The sequence below is a fragment of the Homo sapiens genome, chromosome 1 (assembly GCF_000001405.40).
Source record: "Homo sapiens chromosome 1, GRCh38.p14 Primary Assembly".
Taxonomy (NCBI): Eukaryota; Metazoa; Chordata; class Mammalia; order Primates; family Hominidae; genus Homo; species Homo sapiens.
This window is the reverse complement of record NC_000001.11, coordinates 214625995-214644186: the sequence shown is the minus strand read 5'-3', so window position 1 is coordinate 214644186 and position 18192 is coordinate 214625995. Positions and strand designations below refer to the sequence as shown.

At 39.4% G+C, this 18192-nt stretch overlaps 1 protein-coding gene across 3 annotated transcripts in view; it reads right to left on the bottom strand.

Moving 5' to 3' along the window:
- Positions 1-18192, bottom strand: part of CENPF (centromere protein F) — a 61377-nt gene that overhangs the window by 20385 nt on the left and 22800 nt on the right. For all 3 annotated transcript variants that reach the window (NM_016343.4, XM_011509082.4, XM_017000086.3), the window contains exons 8-12: positions 15016-15141; positions 13525-13653; positions 11585-11707; positions 6186-6321; positions 863-4266 (exon numbers count right to left, since the gene is read on the bottom strand). In NM_016343.4, the coding sequence (NP_057427.3) occupies positions 863-4266; positions 6186-6321; positions 11585-11707; positions 13525-13653; positions 15016-15141 (3918 nt within the window). The remainder of the gene's footprint in view (positions 1-862; positions 4267-6185; positions 6322-11584; positions 11708-13524; positions 13654-15015; positions 15142-18192) is intronic.

Below are 18192 nucleotides of genomic sequence, written 5' to 3'. Positions count from 1 at the left end.
ACCTTCAGCATTTATGATACTCTTTAATAAGGCAGTAAAGTTTCATAACCAGATTCCCAGTCCAAGGACTTAATCCCCAATCCAGCACTTACTGTACATTATTGGATAAATTACATATTTGAGCCTCACTTTCCTCTCATCTGTAAACTGGGGATCTGCTGTTGCACCTACACCTGCCATCACCTCACCATGACCTGCCTTCTCTACCTCACAGAGATAGACAGAGGAAATCAAGTGACATGCATACACTATATAGCATTATTAATTAAGCTAGCAGGCTAGAAAGGACAAAGTTACAAGCAATTAAACAAATATGTATTCAATTTTTTAAAAGCCCTTTTAAATGACTTATACCAAATCATATTTTTGTACCACAGTAAATTGTTAGAGAGAAAACTGTTTAGTAATACATAAAGAATCTGCTGTATTTAGTTTCATGACGATAATGCCATAACATCAAAAATAGTCTGAAAAGTGGGAGAGATTAAAAATTTACATATTACCATTTGTAAGTTCTTAATTATTTCAGTATACTTTATTAATGCACAAAGGGTGGAAACACACATTCTAAAGACTTTCTGACTCCATAATATAATTTTCTCCAGACTTTAAAAACATCTTTAGTAATATTCTATATAATGCTATGTAAATCTAATCCCTATAGAAATTTATTCCTCAAATAACGTTTACTCATTTTCCTCAAGTTCTGGTTTGTTTTGAAAATATTTTGGTGTATTTTATTTCCTTGAACCCTAAAAATATTTTAACTTAGGTTTAATGTACATTTCAATTAGACAAACATTTACTGAGTGTCCACTAGTCATGTAAACCGAGAAATGGCATTTAAATCCCAGGTACTTACATCTTCTGTGTCGATGCCAAGCAAAGACCGAGAACTTAAGTCCAGACCTTGTAGCTGGAGTCGTGCTACTTCCAGCTCAAGTGACAGTTGTTCCGTCTGTTTCTTTTCTGCCGCCAACTTGGACTCCATCTCCAGAGTCACGCTTGTCAGCTTCTGTTGCCACTGTTCATTTTCTGACAAATACTGCTTCCTAAGGCAGTCAAGCTCTTGCCTTTCAGAACTTAATAACTGCTCGAGCTCTTGAATTTCCTTATTTTTCATAATCCCTTGACTTTCCATTTTCTCTTCTAGCTTCTCGAGGGACTGCCGGTACACCTCACAGAGGGACTCAAGCTCTTCAACACCCTTCGCTGGGGCCGAAGGGGTTTCTTTCCTGGTCAGATTCTCCTCCTGCAGACTGCTGCAAAATACTTCATCTACACTGCACTGGTTTGCTGAAACAGCCCCTTCTAAATTACTCAAAAGAGACATATCTCCTGTCTGTTCTAAAAGAGCTCTGTAAAAGGAGGAGTCTCCCAAACTGCTAAGACTAGAGCTGTCAGGCACACAAGAGGATGACAGGGATGGAACGAGCCCCTCCTCCAAGCCCAGCTGCATCTCCTTCACCAAGTCACCTTGAAAGTTTCTCAGATTCGTTGACAAGACCAAATTTTCGGCCTTTAATGAGTCAACATAGGTCTGCAGCTCTGACATTTTAGAGCTCATCTGACAGTGCTGATCATGTAAAATTTTGTGTTCACTTTGTAAAGATAAGAATTTCTCTTGCAATTCGGCAAAGTGCATTTGAACTTCTTTGTCTGACAATGTCAAGTGCTCGTAGGAATTACTCTCGTCCAATGGAGCCAAAGACACAGGGTGCTGTTCATTTGGTTGTTCACCAAATTCACCTCCTGGTATGTCTTCCACTAACTCACCATGGAGAAGACCACTGTCATCATTTAATATTTTAACTTCATTTAGTAGTTTCCCTACCTCTTCTGCCATTTTCCTAGTTGCTGTGATACATTCTGACCTTGAATCATTCAGCTCAGTTACGAGTTCATACTTTTCAGCCTGCAGTATTTCACATATTTTCTCTAGCTCATTCAGCTTGTTCATTGTTGTTTGCAGAGAGCACTGAAGGTGTGCATTGTCGTTTTGACTTGTTGACAACTCATGAGGCCCTGAAATATACTTTTCTTCCGCATCTATTTCACAGTCTTTAAGGCCACTAATTTCTTGTGACTGCATGTCTTGCAAATTGCTGGTTTCAAGATCTCCTCTAATTGTCTGTAATTCATGCTGCAGGCACTCCTTCTCCTTCTCACTTTCCTGAAGTTTTAATTCCTTATTTCTTAGCATAGCTTCTAATTGCACCAACTGCGCATTATAACTATCTAGAGAAATTTCTTTAACTTCAAGATCCATCTGAGGTTTAAAATTACATTGATTTCTCTCACTCTCTCTTTCTTTCACAGAGTTCCTAATTGGTTCTGATTCTAGATTTTGACATTCATGTTTAGTCTTCATTACCTTCATCAGCTGTTCATTCTCTTGTAATAAGTCATTAACTTCCTTTTGCATTTTGTTTTGTTCTTCCTTTAAAGTCATGATTTCTTGCTTTAAACCACCAGCCTCGCTCTTAGAATTGTTTTGGTTATCTGTCATCTCAGATCTCAGAGCTTGCTGCACTGTCTCCAACTCTAGCATCAGATTCTGATTTCTTTCTTCAGCAAATGCTAATTTTGTTAAGAATTCTTGGTGTTCCTTTGCAAATGCTTCCTTTAGCTGTTCCAACTCATTTTTCCTATTTTCACAAAGACTAGTGCATTCATTTAGCAAGCATTCTAATTTAGAATTCTTTTCCTGTGCTGCTTTGTATTTTTGACTAAGATCCTCATATGCATTTCCGGTTTCTTCACATCTTTGTAGTAAAATAAGTTTTTCTTGCTTGTACTGATCAGATAACTCTGAAATGCTTTTCTCCCTTTCATCTATATAGTTTGCAAAACTCTCACTTTTCTGGATTAAGTTCATCTTCTCTTGATTTAAGGATGCATTAATTTCCTTAAGAGTCCCATTCTCTTGGGTCAGCTCTTCAATTTCCCTTTTATTTAGAGAAATGATGGAACTCATTTCTTTCTTCTCCAAGCTTAGGGTTTCGGATAAAAGTTGTAGCTCCTTTAGAGAGTCTTCAAGTAGATGGTTGCTCTTTTTTAATTCTTGAATCTCTGCCTGCTCAGTTTCTACCTTATCATTTAAAAGTTGCAGCTCTTTTTCCTTGTTCTCAAGGGCACTTAAGGTTTCAGCAACAACATTCTGGTGAGCAGAAGTGTCTTCCTGTAACTTACTAATGCGCTGACTTGTTTCAGCCACAAAACTTTGATGCATCTGTTCTGCTTTCATGAGATTTTCTTCTATTTCTCCTTTGATTTGCACCAACTCTTCACACTGCTTTTGCAGGTCTGAGTTCATCTGTTTTTGAGACTCTAATGAAAATTCAAGTGAATCAACTCTATTTTGTAGGATGGCAGAATTTTTCGGACTTTGGTCTGCTTCTAAACGACATTCACTCCTCTCTGAAGGCATGCTTCCTTGTTCTCCAATTATATTTGCAAAGGAATGATGCATGGCAGGCTGCTGATCAAAAGCCAAAAGACTTCTCTGATGATCTTCATTTGTCACCAGAGAAGCATCTTTGGATTTTAGCAGATCCCTGAGGCTCTCATATTCGGCATGCAAGTCTTGGTAACACCGGTCTTTGTCCATTATTTCATTTGACAGTAACTGAAGCTTGTGTTCTAGATCTTCAACTTGCCCAGTAAGCTGAGAAGTCTTCAAACACATATTTTCTATTTCCTTCTGATGTTTCTGATCTGAGAACTCAGCTTTCTGCTGTAGCTCCATATAAGCTAGTTTCTGGGTCTCTACCTCCACTGACTTACTGTCTAACACGTTGTGAAGGTTTCTGATCTCGACACTTAGGTTTTCTCTGTCCATCTCCAGCGTTCTTACTCTCTCGTTGTATTCATGACTTTTTATTTGCTGTGTCTTCAGACAAGTTTCCAAGTGATTAATTTTACTCTGCAAGTTTTCCTTTTCTGATTCCATCTGAGTTAAAAGTTTTTCGTTTTCACTTTTCCAACAAGAAAACAGAGTTTTCTCTTCTTTCAATTCTTCATATTCTTTCTTTTTTAACTCTAAAGCACTCAGCAAGGCTTTGGACTCTTTCTCTGTCTTGCTTAACTTATCATTAAGTTGTTCAATGTGATGTTCTCTTTTCTTCAAAAGGTCTTGAGAACAATCTCGCTGCTTTTCCAGATCAGCCACAGCAAGCTTCAGTTTTTCTAAAGTCAAGGAGTTTTCTTGCTGATTTATTTTTTCTTGAAGATCTCTTAACATGGTTTCCTGAGAGGTATTCTTCGCTATTTAAAAATAAATAAAAGTCGTCAATGTTTGTAATAAATGTTTATTCTACAGAAACGCTAACCCCTCCCCCCGCCCCCTGGCAAAATCCAAACAAACTAACAACTACTCAAGCCCTGGAAAAACTGGCATTATTGCCTGGGTACCTCCTAGAAAGTGGATCACTTGGTAATTATCTTATATAAAAATGAGAAAAATGGTTATCTTAAGGAGAGTAACACATTTGTTCATCTTCTTTCTAGCAGCTTAAGAACATGTTATTGAATAAAATACCAAGGGATGATTTTCCTAAGCACTGTTTCTTTTCTTTGTATGTGTTTACATATGTGTATATTTTTACCATCTTTTCAAATATTTATTCCAAGAGAGAAAACTGGGACAAGAACAGCACTGAAATGGGAACATCCCACTTTATTGTAGAGTAATTCTGATGTCTCAGAAAAGTAAATAAGTACTCCACCATTTTAGCTAAAACATCCACAGGATTAGACTTAAGTAGAAAAGAGTAAATGATGCCATATATCAGTAATTCTCAAGGCCTATATGTGAATATTCCTGAGGAACATTATCACCCCCATCCCAGCCCCTCATAGTAAGGGTGGCAGTGTCTATGAATGTCACAGTCATTTGGAAGCTTCTTCAAACTCCGTTACCCCCTGTCTTCTGCCTAATGACTCATCTATACATACTGGCCCCTCCTGGTTGGGAATAACCACGATGTTTTCATTAAACAGTGATAAGAAGGCTTCATGTTGCTCAAGTATGTTGGGGGAGATTGAAAGTTGAGAACCTCCACAGTAGATGATAAAGGTAACATGTATTACAATCTCAGACATCATATCAAGTGGAAAGCAGTACGAACTTCTAAGCTGTCAATCTCAATCTACCTACTTATAGTTAAGGGCTTATGTAGACAGCACCACAAGGGCTTCATCCCACTTTGCTGTGAGCAACTCAAACAATCACCTGGGTGATCAACACTGAAAAATGCCCCAACTGTTCCTTTTCTTACAGTTTCCCTTCAAGAAAGCTGAAAACTGACATTTCTATCTGCTGCTGTGGAAAAACTAAAAGCTGTCTTGGGAAGATTGGGTTTTTGTTTTGTTTTATTTTTTTGAGATGGAGTCTCGCTCTGTCGCCCTGGCTGGAGTGCAGTGGCGCAATCTCCGCCTCCTGGGTTCATGCCATTCTCCTGCCTCAGCCTCCAGAGTAGCTGGGACTACAGGCACCCGCCACCACACCAAGATTGGGGTTTTAAAAAAATAGTCACAGAGAAGTGTGACACACATTCCACAGGACAGAGTTCAAAGAAATTCTAGATATGCAAACACCCCAGGTGAGAAAATAAAGGGTATGTAGAAGACATCCGGCACAAACATACAAATATGAAACCAAGAGTGGATTCATTTGATGTGTAGAGCAGAATTCTTTGGCTTTAAAATAAGAAAATAAAATCATTCAGTCAAGTAAGTCATCAAAAAACAATGGTCATTAGGAGCTTGGAAAACATGCATTTAATATAGGGTTTTTCCATTATAAGGGAAATGGTAATGAGTCAGGAGATGAGCTGTCTGGATGTAACTAACAAGCACACTAGAGACACAGAGAATAGCACTCGGGGGTGAGAGACAGCACTGACAATTTAGCTTTGTGTGGAAAATATTTACCCTTCTGATTTCAAAGTGCTGAGCATCAGGCGTTTGGGACTCAATATGTTCCAATTAAAAAAAGTCCCACTCTCACTCTGGAAACTAAAAACTAGAAGAGGGAAAACTCTTCCACATCAACTGCGCACATCTTTTTGAGGGAATATATGAAAAAAAATCCAAAGAGTTTCTCTAATATGTTAATGCCATCCATCCCCTCTCACGGGAATAGCAGCTTAGAAAGGTAACTCTAAAATACTAAGTTTACTTACCTTTCATTTCTTCTGCAAAATTCTGGCTCTGATTTAAACACTGTTTGATGTTCTTGAGTTCTGCCTCCAGGTGGCAGACTTCTCTGGCCTTTTGCTCAGAGTGACTCTTAAGGAGGTTGTTTTCCTTCTTCATTTCCTAAAACACACATTTTAATTGGTTATAGCCAAAACGAATGCTCAAGTAAGTTATGACTTCTGCCTTAATAAAGGTCCCTAGCAGAACTGTTTGTGTATCTCACTAGGGAAAGAATCACAATTTCCCCGTTTGAGTACCTAATGAAGTCAGACATTCTTACTTAAATAATGTTATGAACAGAAGACAACAGCATCAAACCCAAATCTGAAGATAATTTTTTCTTTCAAGAAGTTTCATTGAACTTTCTCATTGTTCATACGCCTATTAAAGAGTAAGCTCAAAAGGAAAATCCTATCTACAAGATCCTCAAGACAAAACCTCCAAGTTCCTATCACACCTGAATGGCCAAATATACCTTTGCAAACATTTGATTTGTTAATAAACCAAAAAAAAAAAAAAATCTCAGCACATATGTTTACTTTTCATTGCAAAACCATCTTAAGGTTTGCTGTTACAGGAATGATTCTGTGGGAAAAATTACCTTCAATAAATGCTTATCAAGAAAACCAACAATATTCAAGATGCTGGAATGTGCATTACAAAAAATGCAAATATAAATAAGACAGAGTCTCTGCCCTTGGGGCAGACATCCTCCAGTGGGGGAAGATGTGATACTAATCATTTAATACACAATAGGATATGCTAAATACTAAAGAGACATTGAGTGTGCTATGGGAAATCAGAGGGCTGGAACACAGAGGAAGAATTAATTCTAGCTTCTGAGCTTTCACAGTGAAAACAGGTTCTTTGGGCATCTGATTGAAGAGACATCCACGCAACAGCATGCAATAAAGTAACACAGGTACATGTGTAGTTCCATTCTACTACTAGGGAGGCCTATATGTTCTGAATCTTAAAAGCAAGCAATATTTACATGCCAAAGAAAAACTTTTTTGCTTATTAACCACATAAGACTCACATAACAAACAAGTATCTCAACCTATACTGTATGCCACCCTTTGGACCACAGGGAATTGGCATAAATCATTACAAGCTAAGAGAACCAAGCACCTCACATCCTCAAGCGGGGAAAAATCATATAAAGCTAACTTTTTTCTAAACTGCATTTCAAACCTACCAAAATTACCCCTTTGTGAAGTAGAGGAAAAATTCTGAATCTTAAAGAAACAATTAAGACCCATCCTCCAAAACCCTACTGCACTGTTAGAAAACAGATGGCCGTGGCAATACTGTGTTGGAAGGCTGCCTTCAATTATCAGTCTGGTTACTACCAGCAGATGGGTACCGATGTAGCAAAGCCAAATTCAAGAAGAGGGAGAATCTGGCTAGTAGAAAGTACTTGAAAACTTGCTGGCAGCTGCTCCGTTCATGTATATGCGTTCATTTCATCATTAAAATAAGACAGAACCTGTTGTAGTTATTATACTCCCATCTACCGTGTCCTGATCCTGCTTCCCTGCTGCTAAACTGACACTCTATCGAATTAAGATATCAATCAGAACTAAAGGGCAGCTCCAACCGATCTCAAGATTGATAGGCTAACATTCACACTAGTCAGTGTTAAACTTTGCAAAGCACGATCATTAAGGTGCAACAATGTTATTGATTTAAATTAGCATCATTAAATTATGGAACGTATAATGACTGGTTTGTTCTTCAGACTCAGAATAATCACCCCTCAAATGAGATCACAGATGTGAAAGGACAAACATCTTAAAGCACTTTGACAGGGGCAATGTAGCATTATTAGTAGTATTTCCTCCCAAAATTTAACAGTAGCCAGATCTCTGTAATCAATGCTAAGATCAGCTGAATGAGGTCAACATAGAAGAGGAACTAGAATGTAATTACCTGGGTCGACTTAGCATTTTTATTTTGCAAATGAAAAAATATTTTCTTACTCTAAAAAAAAAATTTTTTAATCAAATCAAATGACACCTGCATCTGGAGGCTTGACAAGAAAGCTGGAAAGACACTGTGCAAAACTAGGTGCGTCCCAATAGGAAGGAAGGAAAAAAGAAGAGAGAGAGGGCACCAGGGAAAGATGGGGAATTTTATGTTTATGTGTTTGTTGGTCTCGATCCATGTCTGTCCATAACTGGAGACATTTAAATGAATAGTAAGCTCAATGGAAAGATTAACATGACTTTCTCTATTCTGGCATTAGCTCCGTAAATATTTGTGTCTAACGAAGAAATGTTCAGCCAATCCTGGGACCCAGCAGGCTTATAATGCTATGGCTATGACCAACCCAAGAATTTTAAAAGGCCAGAATTTAGAAAATGAACATCTGAAAATGGATGTGCAAGCTGCCATCCATCAGCAATTAGTTTTCCACGAGGCTACAGCCACTTAAGACTTGATTGGGTATCTCATTATCAACAATGAGTTAAGCATACAAAGATACATTTTCCTAGGCATCTCCTGCATCCTCACATGATTTGCAAAATTGGGTACTATGCTGGAAAAGCACAACAAAAATCCCTATAACCACAAGCCAGCATTAGAGCTTAGCAAGCAATTCCACCCAGATCAACTTCGCTTTAGGAGCAGCAAGGGAGGCATCATTTCCTAGGGCCAGACAAAACAAATTTCAGCTACTGTGTGGCATTTCATGATCCCATCCATGAATATAGCTTAATACGTCCCCTGCTGGGCGAAGCCTATATACTTGGATAAGGGATGGATGCAAAGAATGTGTTTTTCCCTTTCCTCCTCATCTCTCTTGCTTGCCAGAGCCAGCTCCTTAGAGGACCTAGTGTAATACAGATCCCTATGCTTGGAAAGGTCCCCAGGCAAGTGTTCCCTCATCTTGACTGTCAAACGATGGTATTTTATTGCCTAACCCCAATGCTATGGGGCTGGCACTGGATAGTGGACGAGCAGCTTATCTAAACCCTCCATTCACTTTGATACTAAATGTTAACTTTACCCTTGATTGGGCCATTAAATCACATTTCCAGTACTGATAATTTCTCATTGTGAGCAGCATGTTTACTAAACACAGACAAGGAAAATTTCAGTACAACTGTCACATTATTTCGGCATCCAAAACCTATAAGCGTCCTAAATTTGTTAGTGCTTACATATAATTAGACACAGAAAGATACCCAGAGTGACACAGTAATAGAACAGGCAAAATTATAAATATGAGAAATCTCAAGTGCACTGTCCCCTGATCACACTTTCTGTGCCTGTAGGTGACAGCAAACAATGCTAACATCAAAAGGTCATGGCAGTGATGAAGACCAAGGCAATGGGCAGGTGTTGGACTGCAATAACTGACTGAGCACTTATGTGCTGGGCACTGGGCTAAGCACTTTACATACAATATTTAACTTAACCAAGAATACAGCCTTGAAAAGGCAGGAGAATGATTTGTCCCTATATGCAGATGAGGAAAGTCAGACTGAGAAAGGGTAAGCCACTGTCTAAAGGTCACATTGTGGTAGGTGGCAGAAAAGCAACACAATCTCAGATCTCACTCACTCTAAAGCCACTACCATTTTCCCACTAAGTTACACCACCACTCTAACTGGGTTCATCAGTTATCTGGTCCCAATCCCAATGCAAAACACAAGAGCCAGCCAAACTCTTTGAAATCTTGCTATCACCCTCAAAAGATGACACATACATAAACATAACCATAAATTAAGACAAATATTAACTTCATCCCCAGGCCCGGTGCTAGACACTTTCACACAGATGCCCTCATTTGACACAGACATCAATGATATACCAGTGAAATGTGATGCATGCACCTCAGTACAGGCTGGGATTAACTGAGGACAGCGCTACAGCTCACGGACCAGACCTCGTGGGGATGAACAAGTCTTCAGAAACACCTGCAAGACAATGTCCAGCCCACTACTGCGACTTGGCCAAGCAAGCAGTTTTTAAAGTGTTTGGACTCTCTTAACCAGATGATTGCTTTTACAAAATGTTTCCACCAGGCAGCCAGTGGAGTCGCGGGAGAGTTCCTGGCTGAAAGGGAAGCTCACAGAGGGAAGAGTTCGATGCCAGTCTGCCTGTGGAAATGTTAGCAGAAGCATCTGTTGGTTGGTCCCCACTGGCCAAAAGGCAAACATTTGTTTTGCTGAAACAAACACTTCCATTTGAAAACGTTTGCTGATGAAACTATCATCTGATTTGAAGTTTTCTTCCACTTTGTGGCTGGAGCTGCAGCCCCCTATCTCCAGCAGTATTGCCCCTTTGGGGTTAGCTGATTTAACAATCACCTGTCTGCTACTGACAGATGTTCTGATTTTACCATCATGATACACTCTGCAAAGCGGTGGGGATAAATACATTTAGACTTTCCTCACCTGAACAAATAACTGTTCTTTATGGACAAAGTTTTCTTAATCTTTACAGCCTAAAAAGTGATCATAGAACATTTAAAGAATAAACAGAAAAACATTCTTTCCTGTGGGGTTTGATGGAGAAGAAATTTCTACCATTCTTGTGTTGTTCCTCTTCTTAAAATTACAATGTTGATTTATGGCTCTCTTCAAATTGTTTCAGTCTATTAACTGTCACTGAATGGTTCTTAATTAAGCCCTTTAAAATAAAATCCAGGCCACTAAATAAATTCAGAGAGAAGCCAAATTGAAGTATGTATGCATAAAATCCCATCAGGGCATCCATGCCATTCAGGAACCCTCATCCACCACTTTGTGGACAAAACAAAGTCTCCAAAGACACCGTCAACCAGGGCATGCACAGGCTGAACATTAAGGTCAGTGTCCACTTTTGAAGCCAGAGTCATATAATTGACAATTGCTTGATGTTTTTATAAGAATTTTTAATCTAGAAACTCTTTATCTGTCACTACTTTTGTTTATTTAAATCTATGACTTTCCACGTGTTTTTAATATTGAAAGACACAAATGCCAACAGTTAGAAAAGGGATTTAGATGATACTTCCAATTTTGTTTCTTTCCATTTAAAAAATCCCTTCCTTCCTTTCCCATCTTTCCACCTCCCTGGGGGTCTAAAACAATCTTTAAGGAAGGACTACATATTCTTAATACAAGTCATGTTGTAGACACATATTGCTAGATATGCTATAATTGCTAGATGCATATTAGTAATTATATACAGAATAGAGAGTAGAAAAATAAGCAATCATATTCTGTCATGGGTTATATACAGAAAATTCTGTAATACTTACTTCTGGTGAATAGAAAAGAAAAAGGCACACAGTCATGACAAGCAACTGACAAATGGAATAGGAATATTCTTTTCCCCTTGCACTTGGTTCTTACATAAGTGGAGAAAATTCGGCATCCTCCTCCCTTACCTCCATGCTTCTCCTCAGCTCATTCTCCTTGATCTGACTCGCCTGGAACGCCTGTTCAGCTCTGCACAACTTTTGCTTAAACTCTTCCAAATTGTTTTCTAGCTGTTGCTTTACTGATGTGAGCTACAAAAAGAAAAAGAGACCAAGTTTCATTTTCATGTTCTTTACTTTTTCATTAATCATGTATTCTTAAACAATAAAATGGTCATGGAATATCAAAATGGATGCCATCTATTTTGGCTGAGATACAGTATACGTCACAGCTAAATATGTCTTAAAATACCATAATGTGACCTTGCGACGTCACTCAGCGGCTGCATATAGGAGATGAAAGAGGCTGGGTGTGGCAAGGAGACCACACAGGAAAAAGATTTAACCACAAAAAATAAAACAGCTAGGTATTAATAAATAACCAAAAGGAAAATAAGTTGAGATAAGAAACAGGCTAAGAGAACACATTTTCAATATATATAACAGAATAAAAGACAGTATATCTGTAATACAACATATACAGCGCTCTATGATTGAACAAAAGGGCAATGGCTAGAAACAGAAAACTTTATACAAAAAATACAAATGGCTATTGAAAGAGATAGCTTCAATGGTAATCAAGGAAGTGTGAATTAAAACAATGATATGACAGTATTTTTCACTCCTTGATTAGCAACAATTTTAAAAACCGAGACTACCTCCAATTAGCAAGGATGAGAGGAAACAGGCCCTCTCTTGTACCTGGTAGGAGAGTAACTGCTACAGCTTTTATGGAGGGCAATTTGGCAGTAACTGTCAAATGTTAGGATGCTGCCCAGGCAGGGCGGCTCATGCCTGTAATCCCAGCACTTTGGGAGGTCAAGGTGGGCAGATCACCTGAGGTTAGGAGTTTGAGGCCAGCCTGGCCAACCTGGTGAAACCTCGTCTCTACTAAAAATACAAAAATCAGCCAGGCGTGGTGGCAGGCGCCTGTAATCCCAGCCACTCGGGAGGCTGAGGCAGGAGAATCACTCAAACCCGGGAGGATGAGGTTGCAGTGAGCCGAGATCGTGCCACTGCACTCCAGCCTGGGTGACAGAGGGAGACTCCGTCTCAAAAAACAAAACAAAACAAACAAACAAACAAACAAAACACACAAATATTGGGATGCATATGTTCTTTAGGCTATAAATTTCACATGCAGAAATCTGACCTATAGAAACATCAGCACACATACACAAAGATACCTGCCCCGTGATATTACAAACAGTGCCACAGGGAACAAGAAAATGTTGATAACCTAAGTATCCATCAGTAGAGGCAGCAGATTCAAGTGTAAGAGAAAAAGAAGAATAGAAGTGACATGGAGGTTTTGGTCCCAGCAATGCGGGGAATGGAAGTGCAAGTTAGCAGGGTAAGGAAGACTAAGGGAGGAACAGTTTTGAAAAAGAAAAATACCTAGAGTTCAATTCTTAGCATGTTACTATGAAGTGCCTTTAGACATGTGAGTGGACTGTCAAGCACACATCCACACACCTGAAGTCTAGAATAGACATCCAGGCTGGGTAGAGTCATCATCACATAGATGATATGTAAAGCCACAAAACTGGATGAGACCACTTTGGGAGTGAGTCTTAAATAAGTAAAGTGATTATAATTTTCAGTGCTTTAACTACTTGGGGGCATAAATTACTTGGGACAGCTCCCACCTGGTCATGGAACCAAGAACCAACAGATTATGAGAGAGCTCCACAGACTTTCGGATCTGAAATCCTAACTCACCCCCACTGTTTCTCTAGATGAGGAAACCTAGAGCCAGAATGGTTCTGTACATTCTCCACTTTGATAGGGAAAGTGAAGGTGGAGCGCTTTTTCTTTGAAAGTATCATATGTCAGTTATGGTAGAGAAGTAACAAGTACAAGGAACAAGAGGGGATGATTAAGGAGAGAGAGAGAGACACGGCCCCTACTTTATCCAGTTCAGCCTGCAGGACGTTGTGCATATTCTTGGCTTGCTGTAACTCCTGGGTGAGTCTGGCCTTCATCTGGATGCACTCCTGGTCCAGTGTTTGGAAAGAACGCTGTTGACGGGAGAGCTCCTGAAAAACAAAGGGCAGGTGCATCAGCCTGATGATGGTTCGCTAGGGAGACTCCAGGGTGAGGCATGAGCATCCTAACAGGCGACTGCACAGAGAGCACAGGAGACAGCAGGGAGCTGAGCCAACTGTCCACTTAACGATGAACATAGTCAGCCTTGGTGCTCCATGCTGCCCTCAGGCATCAAATCCAGGTCTCTGAGGGAAAGGGGAAGGACTCTTATCAGTTGACCACATGGAAAGTAGCCTGTTTCCACCTCATCTTCAGTCTTAAATTAATTACCTCTACTTTGAAGGATCAGGGGCAAGAGAGAAGAACTGAGCTACAACAGTCAAAGCTCAACTAAGAAACCAAACATACTCAAAAACGGTGTTTAAAACACAAAAAACTGTATACCACTTTAAATGGGCTTAAATGTAGAAGGACAGGAAATATATGCTACCCATTAACTTTAATAACCACAGAAAGATATCAGCTAACATTTCCAGGCATTCTTATTTAAAATCTATAGACTCTTAATCCGTATGGTACTTTTTCAGGCTAAATCACCTGAAAGAACCAAATTGGCAGATACTTATGGAAGGGCACCTTCCACCCTCACTCTTCTGCCAACCACTTTCCCCACCACATCAACTACCCTCCTAATTTATTTACCAACCCACAGGTTTAAAAACAACTGGAGTTGGCCAGGCATGGTGGCTCATGCCTGTAATCCCAGCACTTTGGGAGGCCAAGGTGGGTGAATCACCTGAGGTCAGGAGTTCGAGACCAGCCTAGCCAACATGGCAAAACCCCATCTCTACTAAAAATACAAAAATTAGCCAGGTGTGGTGGTGCATGCCTGTAATCCCAGCTCCTCGGGAGGCTGAGGCAGGAGAATTGCTGGAACCTGGGAGGTGGAGGTTGCAGGGAGCCAAGATTGTGCCATTGCACTCCAGCCTGGGTAACACTGCGAGACTCTGTCTCAAAAAAAAAAATACTGGAGTTATAAAGGAAATAGAGTGAAAGAAAAAAAAATTTTAAAAGCCTACTGGAAAATGTAATACAATTTCCTCCACAGCAGAGAAAATGTCCAAAAGAAGAAAAGTGATCCTTTCCTACTGAATATCAAATCTCAAACAAATCAGAAAACATGGATGAATTCTGAATACTAATTCCCTTCTCTAATCAAAAACTGAAAGATTTAAAAAAAGCGCAAAAGTGAAGATGTGAAAGAAAATAAGATGACCTTTAGCTCACAAAGCATTTCTCCTCTAAGAGAATTTCCCAAATTGTGATAACAACTCCCCTTTCCAAGTGATCAAACTATGAAAAGCCCATAAAAAGCCTTTCAGACAAACACCTCATGAATCCATTTACCTTACCTCTTGAAACTCCTTTTCTTTTTCCTTAATTTTCTGTTCCAGAGAACATCTGGCACTTTCTGCATTTTGTCGCTGACAACTCAAATCTTCCGTCAATTTTTTCAGTTTTTGTTCCAATGCAGTATACTAATAATGAATAAAAATGTTCAAGACAAAATAAATATTACTCACATAAATGAACAAATATTTTGTGTTTTAGAAAAACTGCTATAATTGTTTTAGCACACAATTTATGTTTAGGAACTATTAGCAAGGATGTAAAGCATTAGCCCACTTAAATAAATACTTCCTAATTTGTGCCATGAAAAAAAAGATCGGCATGTCTAACGATTCATCTAACATTTTGTTGCATGGAAATGAGAGGTTAAAATGCAATGGTGTTAGCCTATGTAATTTAAAAGCTGTAAAATCATCAGAGGGTGCCCATTACCCTCATATGATAGTCTGTTTCAAGCATAATGGATTTTGTGGGAAATTTTAAATATTAAAATGCTTCTTTCCACAATGTTCCAAATGCTGAGGCAACATGGTGAAACGCCGTCTCTACTAAAATACAAAAATTAGCCGGGTGTGGTGGCGCTTGCCTGTAAATCCCAGTTACTGGGGAGACTGAGGCAGGAGAATTGCTTAAATCCAGGAGGCAGGGGTTGCAGTGAGCCAAGATCGTGCCACTGCACTCCAGCCTGGGCAATTAGAGCGAGATTCTGTCTCAAAACAAAACAAAACAAAACAAAAAGTCACTGCTCAAATGATGGTTCAAAGTTTAACAAATCTCAGGAAAAAAAAAAAACCTTGCACCACAGAGTAAATGAAATGAACCCGTGGCGCCCTCTACTGGCACTCCTTCAAACTGCAATACAGTCCACTAAAAGGGTCCTGGAATCAAGAATCCTTTTCTACTAAACACAGAAGGTTACAAGAGTCTTTAGAAGGTACTTACATTTTATTTAAAAAATTTTAAACAACATTCTATTATCAGTGATACCTAATTCATATAAGAGTATATGACCACTAGGTGTCATGAATGCTCCATAATACTCTAAAACAGTGCCCAGAGCTCAAGTCCTTGAAAATATGTAGCACAACATGACCCTGGGCACTCACTCCGGACCTTTTTATCTGTGAACTGTGGGTGCTGAACTCCAGGTCTGCTGCCAGCTCAACACTCTGTTTCTCCATGAATTCAAGCCTTGTATCTCACAACTTGTAAATACTTGGAAAAGACACTCTACAAACAGCATATGTTCACTTAAGAACACGGTATTGATTTTTGTTACAGTAATTCCATTTCATTTAATAGATAAGTCTAATGTTAGATCTGGAACCAGCATAAACATAGCATAATTTTATTTCAGTTACACATTTGACAAGGACATACTATCCTTAGGGACAAGACAGAAAAGAGTAGACTGAATTTTCAGTTAAATGGATTTCTAGCTCAAAGGAAAAAAAGAACCCAAAAAGCACAGAACAAACAAGTATTAAGAACCTGGAGGGGCCGGGTGCAGTGGCTCACGCCTGTAATCCCAGCACTTTGGGAGGCCAAGTTGGGCGGATCACCTGAGGTCAGGAGTTTGAGACCAGCCTGGCCAACATGGTGAAACCCTGTCTCTACTAAAAATACAAAAAAATTAGCTGGGCATGGTGGCATGCGCCTGTAATCCCAGCTACCCAGGAGGCTGAGACAGGAGAATCACTTGAACCCAGGAGGCGGAGGTTGCAGTGAGCCAAGATTGCACCATTGCACTCAAGCCTGGGCAGCAAGAGTGAAACTCCATCTCAAAAAAAAAAAAAAAAAAAAAGAGCCTGAGGGGGTTGGGTGCGATGTCTCACACCTGTAATCCCAGCACTTTGGGAGACTGAGGGGGGCAAACTGCTCGAGCCTAGGAGTTCAATACCAACTTGGGCAACATGGTGAACCTCGTCTCTGCTAAAAATACAAAAATTAGCCAGGTGTGGTGGTGGGCGCCTATAGCCTCAGCTACTAGGGAGGCTGAGGTGGAAGGAGCCCAGAAGTGGAGGTTGCAGTGAGCCAGGATCACTTCACTGCACTCCAGCCTGGATGACAGAGTGAGACCCTGTCTCAAAACAAAAACAAGAACCTGGAGGGAAGACTCTAATAGAAAACCAGAGCTGTATTCTCAGCAGTATCCTAGTCAAAAATATTAATTCACGATTTTATGTGAAGAAACTTCATTATATGTGTCAGACAGAACAAGGATTTGGTGAACTTGTCACTCCAAAACCAAATAAGTAAAGTGTAAAAGGAGAAATGTAATTCTTACATACAGGAAGGCCTAGCTTGGCAGAAATGCAACTGAAAATTAGCTTAATTAACTAGGAACTTGAAAATAAGCCATGATAATAACAGCTAATATTATTATAAGTTCACCATGTGCCAGGAACTATGCTAAAGCCTTTACAAAAATTATCTCAATCTTTACAACAACCCTATGACACAGGCATTATTAACACAATTTTACTGATTAGACAACTGGGGCTCAGAAGTTCATTAAATAACTCAAAAAGCAATAAAACTGAGATGTGGCAGAGCCAGGTTCAAATCCAAGTCCTTCTAACTTAAAAGACCAAATTACTATTACGTAGTGAGACTGCATGAGGATATTAAATGCATGGATCAAAGGAGGTCATAGTTCCACTGAAGCACCATTGTTCCTTTATATATCTAATCAATCTTTTTCCAGAATTTCTCTGTATAAGGCACTGCACTAGGAGAATATATAAAAATGAACCTGATTTTTACTTCCAGGAAGATGGAATAATCACACTTTTCCCTATTCCTCCTAACTAGAACAAATAAAAACCCTGGACATTATAGTAAAACAAACAAGTTTGAAAGGTGGAGAGAAGAAGGCAGACTGACTAAGGAGCTGAGGACCTGAAGAAAAACACTATGGCACTGGGAAAAAAGGACTGTCAACACAGAATCCTATACCCAACAGAATATCCTTCAGGAATGAAAAGAAAATCAAGACATTCTCAAATAAAGGAAAACTAAGGATCTGTGGCCAACAGACTTACCCTAAAAGAAGGGCTAAAGGAAGTTCTCTAAACAGAAAGGAAATAAAGGAAACTGGAAGGAAATCTAGGAGGGAAGGAAGAACAGGCTTAGCAATGATTTTATATATATATACACACACACGTATATATAAACAT